General features: G+C 50.3%; 1 protein-coding gene across 48 annotated transcripts in view, besides 6 other annotated features; it reads right to left on the bottom strand.

Annotated features, from left to right (window-relative positions):
• Positions 1-25,328, bottom strand: part of JAKMIP3 (Janus kinase and microtubule interacting protein 3) — a 148,495-nt gene that overhangs the window by 103,569 nt on the left and 19,598 nt on the right. For 34 of the 48 annotated variants that reach the window (NM_001392040.1, NM_001392042.1, NM_001392041.1 and 31 more), the window contains exon 1: positions 15,229-15,344. The exons of 7 other annotated variants lie outside the window; for them this stretch is intronic. The gene's annotated coding sequence lies outside the window, so the exon portion shown is untranslated. Of the gene's footprint in view, positions 1-15,228; positions 15,345-16,000; positions 16,584-25,328 lie in introns of those variants that run through there. 7 more of the 48 variants (NM_001392047.1, NM_001392048.1, NM_001392039.1 and 4 more) reach the window with 1 other exon arrangement.
• Positions 1,793-1,962: an enhancer, noted in NCBI's record as "experimental_11225 CRE fragment used in MPRA reporter constructs". NCBI's record gives its function as "activates a minimal promoter by MPRAs in K562 erythroleukemia cells, with activity observed for both the introgressed and non-introgressed 10:133892917 or rs6560679 variant alleles {active_cell/tissue: K562}" and the evidence as "EXISTENCE:reporter gene assay evidence [ECO:0000049][PMID:34662402]".
• Position 1,877: a transcriptional cis regulatory region, noted in NCBI's record as "Neanderthal adaptively introgressed variant 10:133892917 (GRCh37/hg19 assembly coordinates) or rs6560679 in the experimental_11225 CRE". NCBI's record gives its function as "modulates activity of the experimental_11225 enhancer by MPRAs in K562 erythroleukemia cells {active_cell/tissue: K562}" and the evidence as "EXISTENCE:reporter gene assay evidence [ECO:0000049][PMID:34662402]".
• Positions 6,485-6,654: an enhancer, noted in NCBI's record as "experimental_11222 CRE fragment used in MPRA reporter constructs". NCBI's record gives its function as "activates a minimal promoter by MPRAs in K562 erythroleukemia cells, with activity observed for the non-introgressed 10:133888225 variant allele {active_cell/tissue: K562}" and the evidence as "EXISTENCE:reporter gene assay evidence [ECO:0000049][PMID:34662402]".
• Positions 8,515-8,684: an enhancer, noted in NCBI's record as "experimental_11218 CRE fragment used in MPRA reporter constructs". NCBI's record gives its function as "activates a minimal promoter by MPRAs in K562 erythroleukemia cells, with activity observed for both the introgressed and non-introgressed 10:133886195 variant alleles {active_cell/tissue: K562}" and the evidence as "EXISTENCE:reporter gene assay evidence [ECO:0000049][PMID:34662402]".
• Positions 13,045-13,545: an enhancer, noted in NCBI's record as "H3K27ac hESC enhancer chr10:133881249-133881749 (GRCh37/hg19 assembly coordinates)". NCBI's record gives its function as "activates a minimal SCP1, AML or CMV promoter by ChIP-STARR-seq in primed H9 embryonic stem cells {active_cell/tissue: H9 hESC(primed)}" and the evidence as "EXISTENCE:reporter gene assay evidence [ECO:0000049][PMID:30033119]".
• Positions 15,820-16,567: an enhancer, noted in NCBI's record as "H3K4me1 hESC enhancer chr10:133878227-133878974 (GRCh37/hg19 assembly coordinates)". NCBI's record gives its function as "activates a minimal SCP1, AML or CMV promoter by ChIP-STARR-seq in primed H9 embryonic stem cells {active_cell/tissue: H9 hESC(primed)}" and the evidence as "EXISTENCE:reporter gene assay evidence [ECO:0000049][PMID:30033119]".

The following is a 25,328-nucleotide window of genomic DNA, read 5'->3' as shown; positions in this document are numbered from 1 at the left end:
TCCTGGGTTTACAAATAAGTGTGAGTTCACATATAAAATGATCTTTGACAAGGGTACTAAGTAAGACTACTCAATGGGGAAATGATAGTCTTTCAATAAATGATGCTGGGAAAACTGGATGTCCACATGCAAAAGAATGAAGTTGGACCCTTACCTTACACCCTATGCAAAAGTTAACCTAAAATGGATCAAAGACCTAAACATAAGACCTTAAAGTACAAAACTCTAGAAAAAAAATTAAGGCAAAAGTTTCATGACACTTAGGGGATGATCTCTTGAATATGACATCAGTGCAGAGGCAATAAGAGTAAAAATAGATAAACTGGACTATGGCAAAATTAAAAACTTTTGTGCATCACAGGGCATAATCAACAGGCTGAAAGGACAAACTGTGGGATGAGAGAAAATATTTGCAAATCCTATCTCATAAGGGGTTCATGTCCAGGATATATAAAGAATTCCTATAACTTGGCCGGGCATGGTGGCTCTCGCCTGTAATCCCAGCACTTTGGGAGGCTGAGGTGGGCAGACTGCTTGAGGTTGGGAGTTCGAGACCAGCCCGGTCAACATGGTGAAACCTTGTCACTACTAGAAAAAAAAATTAGCTGGGCATGGTGGCACATGCCTGTAGTCCTAGCTACTCAGAAGGCTGAGACAGGAGAATCGCTTGAACCTGGGAAGCAGAGGTTGCAGTGAGCTGACATTGCACCACTGCACTCCAGCCTGGGTGACAGAGAGAGACTCCATCTTAAAAAAAAAAAAAAAAAAAAAAAAAAAAAAAAAAAATCCTATAACTTGACAGCAAGAAAATAAATAATCTGATCTTAAAATTAGGAAGGATTTGAATACACATTTCTCCAGAGAAGATATACAAATGGCCAATAAGCACATAAAAAGGTGTTCAACATCACAAATTGTCAGGAAAGTGCAAATCGAAACCACTATGCAACGCCACCTCACACCCATTAGGATGGCTATGATCAAAAACCAAAAAATAACAAGTATTAGTAAGGGTGTACAGAAATTGGAAGCCTGGTACACTGTCGGCAGAAATGTCAAATGGTGCAGCCACTGTGGAAAACAGCATGATGGATCCTCAAAAGAAATCTTTTTGAGTGGGGTCTCACACTGTTGCCCAGGCTGGAGCGCAGTGATGACTGTAGCTCACTGCAGCCTCCAACTTCTGGGCTCAAGCAATTATCCTGCGTCAGCCTCCTGAGTAGCTGGGATTACAGGTGTGAGCCACCATGCCACCTCAAAATATTAAAAACAGAATTGAAAGCGGGGTCTGGAAGACACATTTGTCCACCTGTGTTCACAGCAGCAGTATCCACCATGGCCTAGAGGCAGACGCCACCCACCCAAATGTCCCTTGACAGATGAATGGATAAGCAAGATGTGGTCTACACACAAGATGGAACACGATTCAGCCTTAAGAAGGAAGAAAATTCTGATACGTGCCGCAACACGGAGGCATGAGGTCTTTGGAACAAACTCATAGAAACAGAAAATGGAAGGTGGCTGCCAGGGCCTGGACGAGGGGAAGTGAGGAGCTGTTCAATGGGGACAGAGTTTCAGTTTTACAAGATGAGAAAGTTCTGGATATTGGTTTCACAATAATGTGAATATACTTCACACTACTGAAGTGCACACTTAAAAATGGCTAAGATGGTAAAACTTATGTCTATTTTACCACAGTTAAAATTTAAAAACTGGTGGCATATTCGTGTTCCATGTACGAATCTTGATTCTTTTATATGTAAATAGTGTCAACCCTCCTGGCTTGTTTCCATGTTGGTATCTCTGCAGCCAACTGCTGGCATGTGTGTGTAAATAAACAACTTTCAATCCTCAAAACAACAAAAACGAAAATGCATGCCCTCCAGTGCTACCGCTGAAATCTGCTAACAACCAGAAGTACAAGAGATGAGACCCAGGAAAGGCAGTGGGGCCAGAGCCTGGAATGAGCCCCAGCCCAGACTTCAGGGAAAACAGCAAGAGGCAGCAAATGGACCCATCTAATATGGGGAACTCTATGTGAATTTGTCATGGCAGCAAGAGAAAACAAATGCAGATCCCACCACCAGAAGCGAGGCTACCGGGGTCCACAGACCCCAGCGCTGTGGGGCTGGGCCGTCCGCTCCCAGGCCAGGTGCCCACGTTGCGGGGGCCACTGTAAGCCGGGCCCAGGCCTCGGCAGCTGGCTGTGGGGGTCTCCTGGAAGCCGCAGGTGCCAGGAGAGAGGGTGACGGGGCAGGAGTGGGCATTTGGGTCACTCCCATGCGCCGCTTGTCTGAGCCTTCAGGGCCACCCACCAGCCCTGCGCTGCGCCTGACGGCCTGTGCAGTCAGACAACACCGGCTCGTGACGGGCAGCTCAGGGCGCACGGCGGCCACGGCCAATCATCCGGCCCCCTAGGCCTGGCAGCCAGCACAGTGGCAGCACGACAGAAGAGGAACACGCTCGGGGGAGGTTCTGGCGGCCGGGCCAAGGGAGCAGCTTCAAACGGGCCTGGGGGGAAAGCTGCAAACTTTGTTTCAAACAGAAAAACAATTCTCTAGTCCAAATAATGCAGTTTTACCCAACTGGAAAAGAAACCCCAAAACCTCAGGAGTAGCTACATGATTGAACAGGAGCACATGGCCAGAAACGGGACCCCCCCCCCCCCCCGCCCCCAGAGAAGGTCCCTGGGCTCAGTGGGAAAGGGGGCGTGTTATGCGCAGGGAATGGGATGCTGGGCTGCTGACTTGAGGAGAAATGAATCTATGGATCATTGCCTTTCTACCTTAAAATTCTAAATGGATTAAAGGGAATTAAAGGTGAAAAAAGTCAAAGCATTAAAACCACTGGGAAAAAGCAAAAGCGAGCATTTTTCAAATCTCTGGAGAGGAGAGGCCTTTCTAGGCTTAAAAAAGATAAAAGGAATATACAAAAGGAAAAAAAAATGTCCCAGCAAATGAAATCCTTCCACATCTTTATTATAAATGTGTGATGCAACTGAGAGGCTAGAAACCAGTCGAAATAATCTTTGCAGTAAATACAACAAAAAGCATCTTTACTATATCAGGAGGTTGTGAAATGTAATAACAAACCAATAAGTTCTCACTAGATAAACTGGTAACTATCAAAAGAGGTAATTTACAAACAAGGTAACAAAAGTCTTTTTAAAAACACAAGAGGCTGGGTGAGGTGGCTCACACCTGTAATCCCAGCACTTTGGGAGGCCAAGACGTGCGGATCACCTGAGCCCAGGAGTTCGAGACCAGCCTGGCCAACATAGTGAAACCCCGTCTCTACTAAAAATACAAAAATTAGCCAGGTGTGGTGGCACATGCCTGTAGTCTCAGCTACTCAGGAGGCTGAGGCGGGAGAATCTCCTGAACCTGGGAGGTGGAGGTTGTAGTGAGCCGAGACCATGCCATTGCGCTCCAGCCTGGGTGACAGAGTGAGACTCCATCTCAAAAATAAAAAATTAGCTGGGCATGGTAGCGGGCACCTGTAATCCCAGCTACTCTGGAGGCTGAGGCAGGAGAATCACTTGAACCCAGGAGGTGGAGGTTGCAGTGAGCTGAGATCGTGCCATTGCACTCCAGCCAGGGCAACAAGAGTGAAACTCTGTCTCAAAAAAACACAAGAAAACCACCTCCGCTTAAGATGTAGAAAATCACAAGAGAATGTCACTCCCATCCTGGAAACAAATAAAGCCACCTCATCTACATAATCATGTCTTTCCTGGAGTCCATTGATGAGCTCCAGGCCCCCGAGGGGCTGAATTCCAAATGGTGACAAACCCTCAAATGGCCCAGGTTCCCCACAGTCAGCTGAACACAGGAGACAGTGGGCGAGGACTCTTCGGGCCCCCTGTGGCCCAGTGTGCCCTTCAGAAGAGCTGGGACCAAGTTCTCAGATAGGGGAGGGCACCAGGCACTCACAGGAAGGGCTGAGAGAGAGCAGAAGACGGGAAGTGGCCCCAGGTGCAGGTACCGGACACCCCCTGCCCAGAACCCTCTTTCGGACAAAGCCACTGGGGGAAGCACAGCAAACCCTCTCCCCAGGTCACCGGGAGAGGGGGAAGCAGAGGCCCTCTTCTTCCTGGATCTACCCCTTCTAGGCTAAGCGTGGAAGCAAAACCCTTTTGCTCACGAGCAAGGAGAGGAAGCCGTGTGGGCAGAAGTTGGCTGCCACTTGGGGAAGAGCAGAAAACTCTCACACGCTGGGGTGGAGGCTGCCTGAAGACAGTGTGGCCACCACAGACCTGGGGCCACCACAGACCAGCCCTCACGCGGTAAGACCCAGGGCCACCACAGGCCAGCCCTCAATCAGTCAGACCCGGGGCCACCGCAGGCCAGCCCTCACACTGCTGTCAGATCCGGGGCCACCACAGTCCGGCCCTTAATCAGTCAGACCCGGGGACACCGCAGGCCAGCCCTCACGCAGTAAGATCCGGGGCCACTGCAGGCCAGTCCTCATGCCATCATACCTGGGGCCACCGCAGGCCAGCCCTCAGTCAGACCCGGGGCCACCTCAGGCCAGTCTTCAGTCAGTCAGACCAGGGGACACTGCAGGCCAGTCCTCACACGGTAAGACCCGGGGCCACCGCAGGCCAGTCCTCATGCCATCAGACCCGGGGCCACCACAGGCCAGCCCTCAATCAGTCAGACCCAGGGTCACCGCAGGCCAGTCCCATGCCGTCAGACCTGGGGCCCCACAGGCCAGCCCTCACACCATTGGAACTGGGGCCACCATAGGCCAGCCATCCACCCCTAGGTGTAAACCCAAGAGAACGGAAACACAAGTCCACACAAAAACACACACAGGTATGTTCACGGCAACGTGACTCACAATTGCCAAAAAGCGGAAATGACCCAAACGTCAGTCAACTCGTGAACAGATAAACAAAAACGGTCTATCCACGTGATAGGATATTATTCCAGCAATGAAAAGGAATGAAATCCTAACGCATATGACAACACAGATGAACTCGGAAAACCCCACGCTAAGTGAAAGCAGCCAGACACAAAAGGCCACAGAGTGTATGATTCCATTTATGTGAAAGGTGCAGAAGAGGCGAATTTACAGAGGAAGAAGGGAGATGCGTGGCTGTCAGGGACTGGGGGCAGGGAGGGGTGGGGAGTGACTGCTCAAGGGTTCAGAGTTCCTTCTGGGGGCGATGGAAATGTTCTGAATTTGTGGTGGTGGTTGTGCAACTCTGTAAATGCACTACGATCCCGTGAATGCACACTTGAGTGGACAAACTGTGTGGTATGTGAGTTACATTTTATTAAAGCTGTTACCAAAAAAACAAAAAACGAGAAGTAAACATTTCCAGACAGATACAAGTTGAAAGGAGTTGTGGCCCACAGACCTACACTACAAAAACTGCTAAGGAAGTTCCTCAGGGGAGGAGGTGTTGTCAAATGGAAACTGAATTTACACAAAGAAACGAAGCATTCTCAAAACAGCAAAAAATGGGGGTATATAAAAAGACTTTTTTATTTTTATTCATTTGGAAGGATAAGAGATTATGAACAGAAAAACCAGCAACAAGGCACTGGAGGCTTCCTAACATATATAGAAGTATCTGAGGCAGGGCGTGGTGTATTACAGGCATGAGCACTTTGGGAGGCCAAGGCGGGCAGATCACCTGAGGTCAGTAGTTTGAGACCAGCCTGGCCAATGTGGCAAAACCCTGCCTCTACTAAAAATATATAAATTAGCCCAGTGTGGTGGTGCATGCCTGTAATCCCAGCTACTCGGGAGGCTGAGATTGAAGGATCACCTGAACCTGGGAGGCAGAGTTTGCAGTGAGCCAAGATCACACCACTGCAGCACTCCAGCCTGGGTGACAGAGTGAGACTGTCTTTAAAAAAAAAAAAAAAAAAGAGGTGAAGTATATGAAAGCAATAGCAAAAAAAAAAAATGGAAAAATTTAAAGGGAGCATTATTTCTTCAAGAAGGACTGTGAAAAGCTGTAAATTTGAAAACCCTAAAGCAAACACTAAAAATTCAGTTAAAAGAGAAGTATAATCCATACTGCCCAAAGCAATCTACAGATTCAATGCCCTCTATCAAATTACCAACATCATTTTTCACAGAATTAGAAAAAACAACCTTAAAATTAATATGGAGTTCAAATGGCCAAGAGAATCCTAAGGAAAAAGAACAAAGCTGGAGGCATCATATTACCTGATTTCAAATTATACTACAAAGTTATAGTAACCAAAACAGCATGGTGCTGGTATAAAATAGACACATAGATCAATGGAACAGAATGGAGAATCTAGAAATAAAGCCACTTACCTACAACCAGCTGATCTTCAACAAAGTCAACAAAAACATGCACTGGGGAAATGACACCCTTTTCAATAAATGGTGCTGGGAAAAATGGATAGCCATAATTCAGAAGAATGAAACTGGACCCATACCTCTCATCATATGCAAAAATTAACTCAAGATGGATTAAAGACCTAAAAGTAAGACTGAAAACTATAAAAATCCTAGAAGAAAACCTAGGAAAACTCTTCTGGACATTGGCCTAGGCAAAGAATTCATGACTGAGTCCGCAAAAACAAACTCAACTAAAACAAAAATAGACAAATGGGACTTAAACTAAAATGTTTCTGCACAGCAAAAGAAACGATTGACAGAGTAGACAGACAATCTAAAGGATGGGAGAAAATATCTGCAAACTATGCATACGACAAAGAGCTAATATCCAGAATCTACAAGGAACCCCAAGAACTCAACCAGAAAAAAACCCATTAAAAAGTGGGCAAAGGATAGATATAAACACATTATTCAAAAGACAGACAAACTGCCAATAAATATATGAAAAAATGTTCAATGTCAGTAATCACCAGAGAAATGCAAATCAAAACCACAATGAGATACCATCTCACACCAGTCAGAATAGCTATTATTAAAAAGTCAAAAAATGGGGCCAGGTGCCATGGCCCACACCTGTAATCCCAGCACTTTGGGAGGCCAAGGTGGGTGGATCACTTGAGGCCAGGAGTTCGAGACCAGCCTGACCAACATAGTAAAACCCCATCTCTACTAAAAATATAAAAATTAGCTGGGCATGGTGGCACATGCCTGTAATCCTAGCTATTCAGGAGTCTGAGGCAGCAGAATCCCTTGAACCCAGGAGGCAGAGGTTGCAATGAGCCGAGATTGTGCCACTGCACTCCAGCCTGAGTGGCAGAGCCAGACTCTGTCTCAAAAAAACAAAACAAAACAAAAGTCAAAAAATAGCAGATGTTGGTGAGGATGCAGACAAAAGGGAACTCTTGTACGCTGCTGGTGGGAATGTAAATTAGTACAACCTCTATGGAAAACCGTATGGAGATTTCTCAAAGAACTAAAAGTAGAACTGCCATTTGATCCAGCAATCTCAACATTGGGTATCTACCCAACAGGAAAGAAATAATTATATAAGAAAGATATCAGCACCCATATGTTTCTTGCAGCACTATTCACAATAGTAAAGATAGGCCAGGTGTGGTGGCTCACACCTGTAATCCTAGCACTTTGGAAGGCCAAGGCAAGTGGACTGCTTGAGCCCAGGAGTTCAAGACCAGCCTGGGCAATGGGGTAAAACCGAGTCTTTACAGAAAAGACAAAAAAATAGCCAGTTATGGTGGTGTACACCTATAGTCCAAGCTACTTAGAAGGCTGAGGTAGGAGAATCGCTTGAGCCCGGGAGGTCAAGGCTGAAGTGAGCTGAGATCGCATCACTGCACTTCTGCCTGGGCAACAGAGCAAGATCCTGTCTCAAAAAAAAAAAAAAAAAAAAAGTAAAGATAGGCCGGGCGCAGTGGCTCACGCCTGTAATCCCAGCACTTTGGGAGGCTGAGGTGGGTGGATCACAAGGTCAGGAGATTGAGACCATCCTGGCTAACATGGTGAAACCCCGTCTCTACTGAAAATACAAAAAATTAGCCAGGCCCGGTGGCAGGCGCCTGTAGTCCCAGCTACTCAGGAGGCTGAGGCAGGAGAATGGCATGAACCTGGGAGGCAGAGCTTGTAGTGAGCCGAGATAGCGCCACTGCAGTCTGGCCTGGGCGAAAGAGCAAGACACCATCTCAGAAAAAAGGAAAAGAAAAGAAAAGAAGATCAAAGTGTCCATCAGTGGAGGATTGGATAAAAATTTGTGTTCTACATACACACACACAACATGGAATACTACTCAACCACAAAAAAGAATGAAATCATGTCTTTTGCAGAAACATGAATAGAACTAGAGGCTATTATCCTGAATGAAATAACTCAGAAACAGAAAGTCAAATAAATACACGTTCTCACAAGTGGGAGCTAAATGATGGGAACACACGGACAGACAGAGTGGAACAGATACTGGAGACTATAAAAGGTGGAAGGGTGGGAGGGGTGAGGGTTGAAAAATTAGCTATTGGATACAGTGTTCACTATTCAGGTAATGGGGACACTGATAGCCCAGCCGTCGCCACTGTACAATATACATATGTAAGAAATCTACACGTGTACCCTAAAGAAATAAAAATAAAAATTTTAAAAAGAGAGGTATAATGAATAGAGGCCAAGAATGGAGATAAAATAGGATCATAAAAAATACTTAATACAAAGAAGGCAAGAAGAGATAATATTAACAGAAAATAAATAGCAGAAAGCTAGATCTAAATCCAATCGCATCACTAAATATTAAATGTAAATGGGCTAAACAACATAGTTGAAAGGCAAATATTTTCAGATTAAAGTTTTATTTATTTATTTATTTGAGACAGGCTGTTGATCTGTCCCCCAGGTTGGAGTGCTATGGTACGATCATGGCTCACTGCAGCCTTGAACTCCTGGGATCAAGTGATCCTCCAGCCTCAGCCTCCCAAGTAGCTGGGACTATACCACACTACAGCTAATTTTTTAATTTTTTGTAGAGACTGGGTTTCACTATGTTACCCAGGCTGGTCTCAAATTCCTGAGCTCAAGTGATCCTCCCACCGCAGCCTCCCAAAGTGCTGAGATTACAGGCATGAGCCACAGCACCCAGCCTAAACGTTTTAAAAAGGCGAGAATCTACTTTATGCTTTCTGCAAGAAACCCACTTTAGGCCAGGTGTGGTGGCTCATGCCTGTAATCCCAGCATTTTGGGAGGCTGAGGCCGGCGGAACCCTGTTTCAACTAAAAGTATAAAAATTAGCCGGGCATGGTGGTGCATGCCTGTAATCCCAGCTACTCGAGAGGCTGAGGCAGGAGAATCACTTGAACCTGGGAGGCAGAGGTTGCAGTGAGCCGAGATCGTGCCATTGCACTCCAGACTGGGTGACAGAAGTAAAACTCCATCTCAAAAAAGAAAGGAAAGAAAGAAAGGAAAAAAAGGAAAGAAAGGAAGGAAAGGAAGGAAGGAAGGGAAGAAAGAAAGGAAAGAAAGAAAGGAAGGAAAGAAAGAAAGGAAAGAAAGGAAAGAAAGAAAGGAAAGGGAAGAAAGGAAAGAAAAGAAAGGAAAGGAAAGAAGGAAGGAAGGAAGGAAAGAAAGAAAAAAGAAGAAACCCACTCTAAATATAAAGGCATAGACAGGTTAAAAATAAACAGTTGCAAAACGTTATACAGGGACAACAAGAGCTATACATAATGATACAGGAGTCAATACATTGAGAAGACATGCCAATCCTAAATCTATATGTACCCCAAATACATACAACAAAAATAATAGAAACAGAAGTAGAAACAGGGATATTCACAATCATATTGGAGACATTAACACTCATCCCTCTAAGAGATGAAAGCAGTGCAGAGAAAATTGGTAAGGATATTCACTTCCTAGGACTGAAAAAGCAGCAAGAGAAAATTTGTAAGGACACAGAAGATTTCAACACCACCATTAACCAAGTGGATCTGACTGGCATTTGTGGGATATACCACCCAACCATAGCAGAATATGTAGTATTTTGATGCACACATAAAACATTCATCAAAATAGACTATTTGCTGGGTAATAAAACAAATCTCAACAAAGTTAAAATAACTGAAATTATCCAAAGTACGTTCTCTGGCCAAAAAGAAATTGAACGAGAAATACGTAATAGAAAGATATCAAGAAAAAAGGAAACATCTGGATTAAAACACACACACACACACACACACACACACACACTTTTAAATGACCCATAGGTGAAAGAAGAAATCATAACGAAGTTATAAAAATATTTTGAACTGAATGAAAATACAAGAACAACATACCAGAAGTTGCAGGACACAGCTAAAGTGGTATAAAGAGAAAAAGTTATGGCAATAAAGGCTTATACTGGAACACAGGAAAGGTCTCCAATCATAATCTAATCCTAGTTTATGCTTTCATCTTAAGAACATAGAAAAAAGAAAAGTAAATGCAAAGTAAGCGAAATAGAAATAATAGAGATCCTTCTGCATGGATGGGAGCTGCAAGCCCAGCGCTTGTGTCTGAGCGTGGCTGTCAGCTGGAGAAGAAACCATCTCCTCTCTTCCTGAGTTTGCTCCAGCCAGCACTGCAGCTGCCCCAAAACTATGACATGTGCCACCATGCCCAGATCATAGGGCCTTTGGGGGCTCTTTTAAAAGTCATAAAGACTAAGCTCTTCTTAAAGTACACAAGCATCTGTGAAAACTGAAAAGGAAGGTACCAAGGTCTGTTTCGGAAGCTGGACTCCCCTCCCCTTTGGACTTCAGGAATGAGTAGACAAACGCATCTACATAAAAGGAAGAGGGTCAAAAGGCCTTCTAGGAGCTCCACTGCTTCACACAGCAAAGATCACGCATGGGATTAAGGATCTGAAGACATCAAAAAGCAGCAGAGGGTAAGAAGTGCTGTTAAAGGGAGGACAGAGGACAGGTCGGGCGCGGTGGCTCACGCCTGTAATCCCTGCACTTTGGGAGGCTGAGGCAGGCGGATCACCTGAGATCAGGAGTTCAAGACCAGCCTGACCAACATGGCGAAACCCCATCTCTACTAAAAATACAAAATTTAGCCGGGTGTGGTGGCGGACACCTGTAATTCCAGCTACTCGGGAGGCTGAGGTAGGAGAATTTCTTGAACCAAGGAGGCAGAGGTTGCAGTAAGCCAAGAACGCGCCACTGCACCCCAGCCTGGGCAACAAGAGTGAAACTCTGTCTCAAAAAATAAAAATGCAACTAAAAAAAAAAATGGAAGACAGTGCTGTTTAGACAGAGGTAGATCAGGTGGAGACACTCACTGGGAGTTGGTGCCCGAAGCCCCCACAGGGTGGTACATCAGCAGCCGCACCTCTCACCGCTCCTGATGCCACCGGCCACCTGCCAGCCCCGTGTCACTCTCTAAGGTACAGGGTAGGCTGCAGAACTCCCCATGTGGGTCACACTCTACTGGGGACCGAGCCCCGTCTGTGCTCCCATTGTGCCCTATGCCATCAGTGCCCACACACAGGGTGCTGGTACCAGTGAACATTGGTGGAATGGATAAGCAGCAAGGGCGGGCTCAGGAAGCCCCCACCTTCCCAACCCAACATCACCACCTCACTTTCACACTTTGCTTCTTTTTGCTAAATGTCACTGGAAGGTCCTTCTGTCCATGGTTTCCTCTTCTTCCCACTCTGAGACCAGAGCCATGCTGCAGGCTATCAGGTGCTATGCACCTGCCAATTGCGCTCTTTAATGAAACTCTGAAATGGACATGGCCGCTGGACACAACAGGAGGTTGACCACAGAGACCTGCACGCAGGGGGGGATGCCAGACCTACATGTGAGACAGCTTCAAACAGCAGAGCTTCAGCCCAAGTCCTAACTCCTCCCCATCGGAGCTCATCACCAAAACACCCAGGAGCCCCCTGAGAAGGTTGTCTGGGGGGTCCCTGGTGAAGATGGGATGGATTCCAGGCCCCTTCCTGCTCAGACCCACCCCACCACCATCAGGATAGTACTGGATCTCAGCTTAACACGAAACAGGTCAGTGGGGACCTGGGAAAACGTGTCCTTGGGGGTGTAACACAGACCCAGTGTCCCTTCAGAAGAAAAACCGAGGCCTCCAGACCCCTCCCCTGGCCTCCCACCCCTGGCTGGGTGCTCAGAGTCCTCCTCAGGCAGGAAGACCTGGGGTCCTTCAAAGTCAAAGTAGTCCTGGGTCAACCACCCACCAGGCAGGTGGATGTCTGGGAAGAGCAGCAGCTGGGGAAAGTTTTAATAAGCTCCGTGCCCAGGAAGAATGGCGCCTGGGTAGGATTCCTCCTTACCCAATTAAACACATTGGACCAGTCCAGCTAAAGGCGCTCCCCTCGAACTCAGCCGCAGGCCGAGCACTAAGGCCAGTAAGGTCTGCAAATCCTCCTGATCCAGTCACATCCTTCATCCTGAGCTGGCCGGAGTCACTTTCCCTAGGTTTGAATTCCGGCTTCACTTTGAGGCCCGGTTTTTCTGGAGACCAATTCTCTGTGCCAAGGAGAGGGTTTCCCATGATGCCCCTGCCAGCTGTGCTTGCTTGGAAACTGGCAACCACAGGACATTCCTGATGTCATGTCCTGGGGTCAAAAACCCAAGGCAATCAAGAACTCAGCTCCTGAGAGCCTTCCAGAGGGACCCCAAAGGAAAGTAAGCATGGCCCTTGCCTGCAGCACAGGTTTGATAAATATAAGACGTCTGCAAAGAAAGCAGGCCCAGGCAGCTCCTGGGGCTAAGGTGCAGGACAGGAGACACCTCCAGTCTCCGGCTCCCAAAGCACGTCTACCTCACATCGCTCAAAGCCCAGCTTGGGGTGCCAGACCAACAGGGCTATATTGAGATAAGAAACACCTGCCCAAGAGGTTCATGGATAAGAAACACTTGCCCAAGAGATTCATGGAAGAAGCCTAGGAGGCCAACATAGGCTCTTTCAAAAAGAGTCATCTCAGTGGCTAGTGTCCTGAACTTATTCAATCCCCGTACTAAAGAGGGCCGTTTCAGGGTCCAAATGGAAAATTAACACCACCATCCAGCCACATCCTAGCTTGCCTGTCTGGAAACTCAGGAGTCAAGGAAAAATAAAAAGATATGGCATTGGTCCTGAATGGAATTCAGTTTACAGAAGCCCACAGTCCACACGGAAGCCACAGTGCACACGGAAGCCCACAGTCCACATGGAAGCCCACAGTCCAGACCACGCAGAAACCCACAGTCCACACAGAAACCCACAGTCCAGTCCACACGGAAGCCCACAGTCCAGACCACACAGAAACCCACAGTCCACACAGAAACCCACAGTCCACACGGAAGCCCACAGTCCACACGGAAGCCCACAGTCCACACGGAAGCCCATAGTCCAGTCCACACAGAAGCCCACAGTCCACACGGAAGCTCACAGTCCAGACCACACAGAAACCCAGAGTCCACACGGAAGCCCACAGTCCACACAGAAGCCCAGAGTCCACACAGAAGCCCACAGTCCAGTCCACACGGAAGCCCACAGTCCACACGTAAGCCCACAGTCCACACAGAAGCCCACAGTCCAGTCCACACGGAAGCCCACAGTCCACACGGAAGCCCACAGTCCACACGGAAGCCCAGAGTCCACACGGAAGCCCACAGTCCAGTCCACATGGAAGCCCAGAGTCCACACGGAAGCCCACAGTCCACACGGAAGCCCACAGTCCACATGGAAGCCCACAGTCCAGTCCACACGGAAGCCCAGAGTCCACACGGAAGCCCACAGTACACACGGAAGCCCACAGTCCACACGGAAGTCCACAGTCAAGATCAACCTTCCAAGAACATGTATAGGACACTTACTTCTCTTGGAGGAGCTCGATCCAAAATACGGGGGCAGAGGCACAGCTCTGACTGACAGCTCCCTTGCTGTGGGACCACCACCTGGTCGTTTGGATATTGTTAGTTAGGACCTAAAGTAGTAAGGCCTTCCCAGGGCTGTCGGGAGAGAAGCAGGAGCTCCGTGCATGTTCTCTGCCACAGCGTGCCCTTAGGTTTCACAGGGGTGCCCTCAACTCACAGGAGAGGCAGGGAAACCTCGGGAATAGCAGGAATGCCAATGCCCTCCCCCCACCCTCAGCCTTGGAGAAGGAATGTGAATGTGCCAGGCGTCTTGTCTTCTCCAAGCACATATTGATCATATTGATCTACTCTGTGGGACTCTTAGGGAACCTCATCCAAACGCCAGCCTTTTGCCGGTAATGCTGTGAATGTAAACTGAGGGTCCTTCCTCGGCCCGGCTCACTTTCCTCTTCTGCTGCTCTTCTCGGGAACTGAGGTGGCGTTTTACCACGGACCTGCTCAAAGGCCCGATCCACTGAGAGGACTCTCAAGTCTACTACTCCAGGCTTGGCTTGGAATGAGAAAACCGTTTTGTGACTGGTTCTCCCACACTGTGAACAACAAAATCAACGGCAGCAGCAAGTATTTACATCCCTAGGGTGCCTGCATGGTTTCCCGGCCAGTCTCACTGACATCTCAATAAGCATCAGTACAACAACGTACTGCCAAGTTACCTGTGACACCCTTTCCACCGCAGCCCTGCCAGTCCCAATCAGCAGTGGATTTTCTTTGAACAACTGTAGAAACTGAGGCATGGTGCAATAACCTCAAAGAGTGAATTAGTAAGTTAATAAGCTGTTGTTTCCCAAAAACCTGGAGTTCCTTGCATAAGAAGTTATATCAATGAGTGATGTGTGATTCTTGATTAAGTTTTAAAGAGAAGACACCATCCAATCAATGCGCAGGTAGGTGGTGAGGCCTCAAGCCATAAAGATGACCTATTCTTCAAAAGGAAAACAAGCAGCAAAAAAGTCCAGCCGGTTACCCCACGGAGCCAGGAAGCACCCGGACGCCGCAGGCCTCCCGGGCTGTGCAGACAGCTCTCTGGTGCTATGTCCGTGGGATTCTCACCACAGCCGGCAATACACAGACTCAGCCTGGCTTCCCCAACCCACCCCACCACGGCTGCCGTGCCAACAAGCATCCGCTTTACATATGGGATGGAACACACACCCATGCTTTAAAGGAGAAACCTACTACTGGGAACGCAGGCCCAAGCCTCCTCCAAATGTGTGCATGAGCATGAACGTGAAAACGGATAAATGAAGCATCTTCCTCTGTGATCGTCCCTGCACCCCTCAGAGGACAGACCCCAAACTGTCAACTTTCCAGCCACATACGTGTGCGCACTAAATACAGAAGAGCACCAGGTGGAAAGAGCCTGTGCAGAGACAGCCAAACCGAAACCAACAAAGCCTCTGCAGCAGTCAGAAAATAAACACTCACATTCCAAAGCTCGCTGTCTGCTCCTCTCTCCCATCGCTCTGCTCGACTGTGAGAATCTTTCCCGGCTCGTCCAAGACTCAGTCCGGCTTTTGCGCAAATCAGCTCCGAGCTTCTATGACTCAGCAAAGAGCTCGGCTTTTATTTTTCAGATGGAATTTACCACGCTGTGACTACATCCAGGGGGAGGAACCATTTCCCCGAGCTGTTTCCAAGCAGAGCCCTTGAGCCAGGATCGCCCAAGCTCTCCCTGTGCACCTTAAGGCCAAGCACAGAGGCATCCTCTGAGCCCCCAGCCCAGCTCCCTGCAGGGCGCGAACAGACGCTTCTCGGTGGGGAAGGGGCCCGCAGCTCTGCACGGCCGGGCGGCCGAAGGCACAGCCACGCAGGTGAGATCCTGAAGGCAGCTTGGCTCTATTCAGATGCAGAGGCGGCCTGGGCTCCGGGTTGGCCCGGCGGCAGTCTCACGTGAAAACCAGCGAGCGGCAGAGGCCACGGCTGGGCCATCCCTGCCCTCACCGCCCCCTCGGCTTCCTGGCTGCTCCAGGACCGCGTTCTGGCCGGCTTTCCCTCCTGCTTGGAGAACCCCCTTCAAGATTGCAGAGTGAGCGGGTCAATAATAGGAACGAACTTCCACTCTGAGGGTATCTATTTTAAATGTCAGGTGATAGAAGGGATTTGCACACACTCAACACTGAGGACTGAAAATGCAGACGGGAACCAGACACAGGAGACCAGCAGCATTCCTGTGTGAAGGGCAAGCACGAGAGCTCACCTGGCCCGCCAATCCCACACGCAGTCCATAATCACCGTCCGGAAAAGCCGTGTGACAGCCGCTCTGTAGAAAACGCAGGGTCTGACAGGGTTTCCAAGCAGGAGGCCGCTTAGAGTCCATCTGGGTCCGATTCCATCAAGGCAGCCTTGAGGGCTGCCGGTGCGGGTGGCCTGAAGCTCCTGCCCTGCCCTGTCTCCGGCCACCAGGGCCTGCGCTGAGACTGCATCGGAGCCTGGACCCCAGAGCAGGCCTGCACGCCCAGGTTCTGGGGGTCAGCCTGGGAGGACCCTACATCCCCCCTGCTCCCAGCCCGCTCTGCCTCAGTTCCCTCGCCTGCACCCTGCCTGCCCCCCACAACCTGCCTCTTCTAGTCAAGGCCAAATGTCACTTCACCCCAAAGCTGAGACCGGCAGGCATCACCCCGAGAGGAGCCCACAGAGTGAACGCCGATGATAACATGTCAGAGGATGGCACAGGGCAGGCCAGGACTTCGGGTTACTTCTGCTGTCTGTCTAGATCTGGCCACCCTCATAAGTTAGAGCAAGCAAAAAATTGTCCTGATTAAAACCATGGCCACACGTCTGGCCAAACGTCCAGGGTGATGCAACAACCCTCCAAGGGTCACATGTCCTGACTCGTGTGACGGAGCCGCCCGCTGTCCCTGGTTACCAACCATCGCTGCCTCTATGTCACAGGGGAGGAGGCTGGAGCGCCAAGAGGCCATGCGGCTGCCCCACAATCACATCCCTGTCAGGTCCCGGAGCTGGATTCAGACCCGGAACGGTGGGTCGGAGATCCAGACCCCTCCCGTGTTGCCCTGAAGCAAAGAGGGTTCCCATGCCGGCGGCTCGGGGTCCACGCCCGACCCCGAGGGTGGCTCCTCCTCAGTCGGAGGCAGGCCACGGGGACAACCTTCCTGACGAGGGCAGTGCCCCCTCAGCCCAGCTGTCCTCCTGCTGGAATTGATCCTGGGGAAACAACACAAGGATGGTGTGTGCACAGATTTGACTTTAGTCCAAATACTTTATAGCACCTACCCCGTGCCAGGCGCTGTTGTAAGCCTTTAAATATAACTCACTCAGGGATGCTTACGGCAGTGTTGTCCATAATATAACAGGGAATAATTGGAAACATCCTAGACGTCCAACAGAGGAGTGATTTAACAAGCGATGGGAAACGCACATACGTCCAAATACAATGGGGCCATTTAAAAATGTCCCCAGTCCAAGCTTAACAGAAAGACGTAAACAACCTATTGTTTAAGTTTTTTAAAGTCAGCCATAAAAAAGCTGGTATCGTATGCTCACATTTCTGTTTAAAAAAGTGTGTATAGTATGATCACATTATTTGTTTTTAAAAACGCGTGCCTGTGTGTGTTGCACTCAAGAAAAACAAAGCCTGAAAGCGTAGATACCAAGCTCTAAAGTGGCCATAGCTCCAGGTGATAGGATCTCAGGTGACTTGATATTTTGTTTTGTATCTTTCTGAATTGTATGTATTTTTTTTGTAGAATTGGAAACAATATTTTTAGAATCAGAAAAAACATCTACTTTCATTTCCAAACAGATGCACATGCGTGTATGTGCTTTTGATTCCTGCAGTAAACGTGCCCCTTGCAGACGGTCCGTTCTCTCCCGGAGCCCAGAGGGAGACACTGTCCCTTCCAAATCCCCACGCTGGCTGAGGCGGAGAGCAGGTGGGTGCTGGGCCGGGCTGACACCCGGCGTTCCAGCTTAGGGAGCAGCCTGCTCTTTAAATAGCATCCATTTTTCTAGTTGTAAAAGTGAAATGTGCTCATTGTAGAGAATTTGGAAAACACAGGAATAGATGAATAAGAAAACCATCCTTGCTAGTCCTCAAGAAGCTGAGCTTTGAGCCTCCCAGCCACATTGCCAGCTCCACCCTAATTCTTCCAGATCCCAGAAACCGAGCCCCAGCACCTGGGATGGAGCCAGCACCCCCAGGACGTGTTCTGAGGAAAAGAGGCTTAAACAGCAGGCCTCACTTGTGTCACAGGGTCTGGGAAAACCACGACCTCCAGTGGGTCTCTATGTCTCACGTGGCTGCCTCACCAGGCACCACGAGGCCCAAGTCTGATCCCACAGCCCGTCCCTGGCTTCCCTTTCCCACCCACGGGCAGTTGTCACCTGTCCTTTCTGGGGGAGCTTGGCCACTCCCATGATCACACCCAAATCCAGGGCTCTGCTGCTCCATCGCTGATTCCCAGACCCACCCGTCCTGCTGGCCCGGTGTCTCCATACAATTCCTCGGGGGCCTCTCAGACCCGGCGGGTCCAAAAATAACCTGCCCTGCCCCAAACTTCACTCTTCCTTCTATTATATTGCAGGTCCTGACACAGCCATTCACCAGTTATTATCCAAGCAAAAATATGGCTGCCTTCCTTTTCTCCTCCCTTCCCAGACAGGCCTGCGCCTTCCAGGCCCTGCACACAGCTGTTGGACCCACCACCCCAGCTCCCGTCATGCAAAGGCACCTCCTCCTGGAATCCTGCCAGGACTGCCCCCAGGGGCTCCCATCCTCGGTCCCTCTGTCTCATGACTGAGACCTGTTTTTTTATTCCCATGCATGGCTTCTGTATTTTTACTACATAACTATGAATTCGTCATCATTGCTTTTTGTGTTTTGGAGAAATAGCATAATTGGCATCATACTCTACATATCCTTTTGCAATTTTCTTTTTTCACTCAACGTCATGTCCTCGAGGGCTATCCGCACTGGTGCGTGTAGATCTTCGTCCATCTTCGCTGTATCCCCGCATATGAAATAACCATGCGCTGTGTTGGTTTCCCACCTCCTCCTGGCTGACGGGGAGTTAGGCGGGTTCTGTTTTCGCATCATTGTAAATGGTGCTGCCACGAGCACCCCTGTCTGCATCTCAGGCCCATCTGCTCAGGAGCTTTCAGAGCAGGCGCTTGAATGGGAGGTGGCAGGGCTGAGGGACAGCCATCTTTGACTGTTTCAGCACTGCAAGCTGCTACCCAAAGCAGCGACCAGGATGAACGCCTGTCTCCCGACACCTCCCAAGCCTGATGGGCAGTCTGAGGGGCAGAGAGGATTTCTCCCTGTTGAATTTAATGTGCATTTCCTGAGTACTCATGATCAGCCACTCACTGGCTGCCCAGGTTTCTTCATCTGGGCTCTCCCGGCCCCTCTTCCCCTGTGTCTCTGTGGCGTGCTCATCATCCATGGCTCTCAGGTTTCTTCGTCTGGGCTCACCCGGCCCCCCTTTCCCTCTGTGGCTCATCACCCGTGGCTTTGAAGGAGGCTGTTCTACAATCTGGATAGGAGTCCGGTGTTGGTGAAGCCTCGGCTAGTCTTTGTCTACCATCTGGATAGGAGTCCAGTGTTGGCGAAGCCTCAGCTAGTCTTTGCAGTTTTTATGTTGCCTTCCATTCTCCAGAAACTTTCAATTGAACCATTTTACCCACATGTTTTCCTCTGTTTTATGTTTTTGTTTCTTAAGAAATGTATGTCTCATACATGAAAACATCTCCCCAGGTTTCCTCCTAGAGGTCTGTTTTAGCTTTTCACCCTTGGGTCTTCTCCATGTGGAAAGCCAAGCGTGCACCCTTCCTCGTCGAGAGCCCCGTGCTACCGCTGACCTGGCAATGCCAGCTTGGGTGGCAATTCTGCTCCATTTTTGGGGACCCTAAGTTCTCTACTGTGATGGTCTCTGTCAAGCTCTGCCCCAACGTGCCTCTAGTGATATAATCTTCAAATTTGGCCTTTTTATATCAACTTGCCAAGCTCAATAAAAACTGGTTTCAATTTTGATTGGAATTATAATGAGTTTATAGATTAACCGGGAAAGAAATGACATCTCTTTGACATTGAATCTTGCCTGTGAACGTAGGCTAGTTCTCCATTTATTTAGGACTTCTTTTATGTCTTCAACGAAATTATATAGCTTTTCCCCAAAAGGTTTTGCACAACGTGTGATGCATTTACTCCTTGGTGCCTAACGTGTGTGTGTGTGCCGTCACGGCAGGTGTGTGTGCGCGCCATCACGGCAGGTGTGTGTGTGCGCCGTCACGGCAGGTGTATGTGTGCGCCGTCACGGCAGGTGTGTGTGTGCGCCGTCACGGCAGGTGTGTGTGTGCTATTGATACCTTTCCTCATCACAACTAGCAAGAAGGTGGTGCTCAGGACTGTTACTCACTTCATATTTACCTTATACTAGCAGCTTGCTGAAATCTATTATTCCTAAGAGTTTGTTTCTATATTCTCTTGTATTTTTTTTTCTTGAGATGGAGTCTCACTCTGTTGCCTAGGCTGGAGTGCAGTGGTGCGATCTTGGCCCGCTGCAACCTTCCCCCACCACCCCTGGTTCAAGCGATTCTCCTGCCTCATCCTCCCAAGTAGCTGGGATTACAGGCACCCACCACCATGCTCAGCTAATTTTTGTGTTTTTAGTGGAGACGGAGTTTCACCATGTTGGCCGAGCTGGTCTCAAACTCCTGACCTCAAGTGATCCATCCGCCTCAGCCTCCCAAAGTGCTGGGATTACAGGCGTGAGCCACTGCACCTGGCCATTCTCTTGTATTTTCTATGTAGAAAATCATTTGTGAATGATATTTTTGTTTCTTTCCAATCTTTATACTTTTACATTATTTTCCTACCTTTTTGTGCTAGGTAGGTTTTCCATGACACGAAACATCATTAATCATTCAGGAGAGGCAAATTCATGCGAGATAGCCTGCACCCCTCTCTCATTCCTGCCTTGCAGGAACACGCACCAGGGTCATTGCAGGATTTTGGTAGGTTCCCTTCCTCAGGTTAAAGCCTTCATCTGTATTCCGAATTCGCTAAGTGTCCATTTTTTTAAAATTGTAAATGGGTGCTGCAAGTCATCAAGCGCTTTCTCTGCATCTCCTAGAATAGCCGTATTGTTCTCTCCCTGTCTCTTCAGAGCCTGCCTGTGCCTGCCCCTGTGACTGCCCCGCCCACCAGAACCTGCCTGGCCCCCATCTCATCATCACCTCCCGGCCGGGCAGTTTGCAGTCACAGGATTGCATTATTTACAGCCTCAAACTTGGGGGAGGCAAAGACCTAGCTCTTCAAAGTCCCCCTAAAACATTCCCCTACCCAGAGTTAGTGGAAACAGACACGTTTCTGCCCTCTCTTGGTGCTGAGGTGGGCTTATTTCGTCCAGTGTCACAGGGCTCAGTGCATCGAGGGTCCAAGCTCTATGCCAGGGTCTTCGCAGCAGCCTCCTTCAGCAATGTTTTATCTCCCCTTCCTGTTCCCAAGAGGGCATGAAGATGCAGCCTCTGGCTCCCAGGGACAGCATGGCCTGCCCAACCCAGCAGCTGTGGCTGTGGCTCCAGGGCTCACGGCTCCACTCTCCCCTGTCCTTTCCAGCAACCCAGATTGAAAGCTCCCCATCCTCCCTCCCTCTTTCTCTCTCAGTCCCTCTGGTTCTCCAAGGTAAAGTCAGCTTATATCTGGGAATTTGAACACCTGCAAATTAGCAAGGCCAGTGACAAGGGACAGGTAGGGTGGAGCTGGGATGCCCTGGCACCAGCCCCCTCCCTGGGGACAATTTCTTGCCTACCTCATTCCTGCAGGTGGGTGGGGCCCTCGCCACAACCACCCCACTAAGCGCCTGCTGCGATCCTCCAAGGCCGCTCTGGCATCTCTCTGAAGACTGCTGGAGGCTGCATGCCCTGAGGGGTCGGCCTCGGCACCCCCAGACATCAAGACGGTGGAGGCCCAAGAGCCCCACAAAGGGACAGAGCCTCAGGGCTGAGCCTGGCCTCCTCCTGCACAGGGCGGCTGGGTCATCCTTGCTGTGGTCACCACGCCAGGCTCTGTTAAGTTAGAAATATACAAACTTGGGCGTTTTCACCCTGACTTGAACAAGTCAATCTCTTGCACCTTCATCTCCAATAAAATGGAAAATATTGGCTCATATGAAAGGCTTCAAATGCACAATCCTGTGGCCAGCGCACAGTGTCTCCTGGCAGGCACAGGGTCCAGCCTCCCAAAGCTGCTTCATCACGATGCCCCATGGCGGACATGGCACCAGCAGCAGGTGGGGACGGCACCCAGAGGCTGTCCAAAGGAAGCTCAGCGGGAGGAAAGGCTCCTCTCCATCTGCAGGAAGTTTAGCAAAAGCCCCAGGACGTTCTTTTAGGGACGTGGCAGCTGAAAATGCACAGGAGACAGCATCCTGGGTCGCGTTTGTCGTCCGCGCGAACAGCTGTTCAGAGTCAGACAGACACAAGCCGGGCATCCGACGGCTCCAACCACTGCAGCTGGGGCTTGTGGCCCTGGGACAGTCCTCGGTGGCGTGAAGCCAGGCAGCCAGGCTCACGTGGGCGCGACGCGATGCGAAGGATGACCAAGGAGCCGCACAAGAAGCTCCGTCCGGAATCCTGAACCAGAAGCACAGACGGTGCCAACTTACAAGGCTTCGACCTTATGATGGGATTACCGGGGTACTTTATGCATTTTTGATCGCTTGAACATACGGTGGATTTATCCAGACATATGACTCCCTCGTCTGTCGAGAAGCATCTGGATGCAGCACCCATCAAGACAACCTGTGATTTTCCAACAGCCGGGTGCGTCCCCTCCCCACTGCTTTGGGTAACTGACTTTTTTGATCCTCACACACGTGTAACCAGAATGACACATGAAAATACTAAGAAGCATCTTCACCAGCTGCCCACGGCAAATGAGTCATTGCTGAAGTTCACCACCTGCGTGCCCAGGGGAGCGGCCTCCGGGGAGGAGGGTTCTCTGCTCCGCAGCAGATGGGGTTAGCACACAGGACCCTCCAGAGAAAGGTTGTGGGGAGGACAGGCTCCTCCTCCCACCTGCAGGGAAGTTGAGCAAAAGCCTCGCTACCTCTTCCCGATGGAGGCCGTCACCCTGCGCCCCTGGGGCCTGGATACACCTGTGCCTGGTCTACGGAGCTGATTTGGGCTGCAGCAGGGGCTACTTCCAGAGCCCTGTGAACCACAAACCACATCAGAGATCAGCTCTGAGGCCCTCACTTTGTATTTCCACCCATGGGTGCCAAATGAATCCATCACCAGATGAAAGCAGCCTCGTTCCAAAGTCACTGCCGAATCCATGGGAATAAATTGGGCCCCAAGGTGTTGACCTCAGCCTTGTTCCCATAGGTCGGTGGCTCTCACAGGATCTGAGACTCATTCCCACCACCAAGCAGCCCCAAACACCGGACACCAAGCCAGTCCCTTAATTGAGGGAAGGATGTGGCAGGCAGCACTTGGACTTGAGTCGTCAGGGGCCGAGGATCTGGCCCCGTCCAGCCCCAGGATGCGGCCCTGATTGCAGACTCTCCTGTTTGAGTGTCACCCGAACCCTGTCTCCACTTCGTACGCACCAGTGTGCAGTGTGGTCACAGTGCCATTATGTGCGTTATTAGTGTATCTGATCCAAAACCACTGCAGAGAACACACTGCATTCATGCTGGGTTGAGGGAGGGAGGCGCTGTCCAGGACGGCACTGGAGACAGCGTCCCTCTCACTGGGGTTGACACAGGACCCAGCTGCCTTCGTTTCAGCCCTGAGCACCCAGCACCAAGGGGTCGACACCCCTGCTGTACTCGAAAGAGCAGAGATACCTGCACAGGAAGGAGAAGAAGGCCAAGCGGAGAACACACACGTGCAGGGCTGCTCAGGTGACGACAGGAATCGCCAGCCTCGTGGGGCCTGTGCCACATGCCGGGGCCCTCCTAAATGCACTCTGTGCTGCATCTCATGCAGTTCTGACACTAACCGGCGGGGCAGCGTGTGTCCTGTGAGCATCCCACATTTATCCTTCCTGTGCAACCAGCCTCTGAGGGCGATACAGTGGCAAGGCAGTCGGCGGCGTGCTCCTGCCCACGCTGGGCTCTGGGCTTCCTGGAACCACAGGACATGAGGCCTCTTTCATGCACGCAAAGCCTGGTGTGCAAGGAGCTCACACCCAATGCACGTCCAGCCAGTGGGTCTGAAGCCAGGAAGTCAGCGCACGCCTCTTCCCTCCTGGGGTGGACAACAGTGAGGCCCACTCTCCGGCTCTTTCGAGGGTCCCAGGGGGTTGCGCCCAGATGTTGCCACAGTAGTGGCCAGCAGCCAGCACAGCCTCTGGGGCTGACCTTCCTCCCTCCCTGGTTCACTCTTCCCAGCCCCCATTCCTTTCCCCGGAGTCCTTCCTAAAATACCACATGCTACACACAGGTCCTTGTCTGAGCTCCGCTTGGGATGAGCACTGGTGGGATATAGGCTGAGAGCCACCCCCAGGGTGGAATTCTAGACCCCTGGGTAGGATCTAGAACCCAGGGTAGAATCCGGACCCCAGGGCAGGACCTGGAACCCAGGGCGGGAGCTGGACCTCTGACCCCTGGATGGGATCTGGACCACTGGGTGGGAGCTGGACCCCCGAGTGCCTGGTATTCTGGAAATGGATCAGTCACCATCAGGCCAGGCGAGAGCCCTCCTGCAGTGGGTGTGGGTGGCGATGCCCCTGGCATTCAGCAGCCTCACTGGTGGTGCACCGGGACAAAGTACAGACGGGAGGTGGGGACCACTTGGCTCCCATGGGTCAGTGCAACTGTGAGGACTTCAGAGGGCTTCTGCTGGCAGCTTCGGTGGCCTCACAAAAAGAAAATGACAGGCATGATCTGCCTCGCTTTCAACCCAGCGCACACTGCCCAAGTCCGATGGCCCTCGTGGTGGCAGATAAGGAGGCCCTAGTATCCTGTGGCCACTGAACACCAGGTGCAGGAACTCTAAGGGCAGCAGAGCCACAAAGGGGATGGAACACATGGCCTCGATTGGTCTCCAGTACCAAAGTCAGGGCCCTGTAGGAAAAGATGGGACCCTGAGACCTGGATGGGGTTAGTGGGTATTTGGGTTTCCAGGGCTTTCTCTGCATGCAAAATAAAGGCAGAGGACATGCTCACAGCTTGCGATTAAACCAATTCAACGTGGACAACAGTGAGCAGCAGAGACGCTGGGGATGGGCTGCACCCATCACCTCCACAGGCCACGGACAAGCTTTACAGCCCGGTGGCAATGTGCTGAGAGGCGCCCTCACTGTTGGTGGAGAAACTGAGTGTGGGGGTGACAGAAGGTGCCCAGGGTCCCACCGCTCACCAGGAACGAGGCCAGACTCATCCAGATTTTCCAACTTCTGAGCCAAACTTTTAAAAAGACAAACACAAACTGACCACAAACAAGCAGGCAATGCTGGCTGGAAATGGATGGGCAAGGGCGGCGTGTGTCCCCAGGCGGACTCAAGTGTCCCCAGGTGGAGTCATGTTCACAGCACTTGGAAGGAAACTCATTCTGGA

This window comes from Homo sapiens, chromosome 10 (assembly GCF_000001405.40).
Source record: "Homo sapiens chromosome 10, GRCh38.p14 Primary Assembly".
Taxonomy (NCBI): domain Eukaryota; kingdom Metazoa; phylum Chordata; class Mammalia; order Primates; family Hominidae; genus Homo; species Homo sapiens.
Note: the sequence above shows the minus strand (reverse complement) of the source record. Positions and strands in the feature narration are given on the sequence as shown.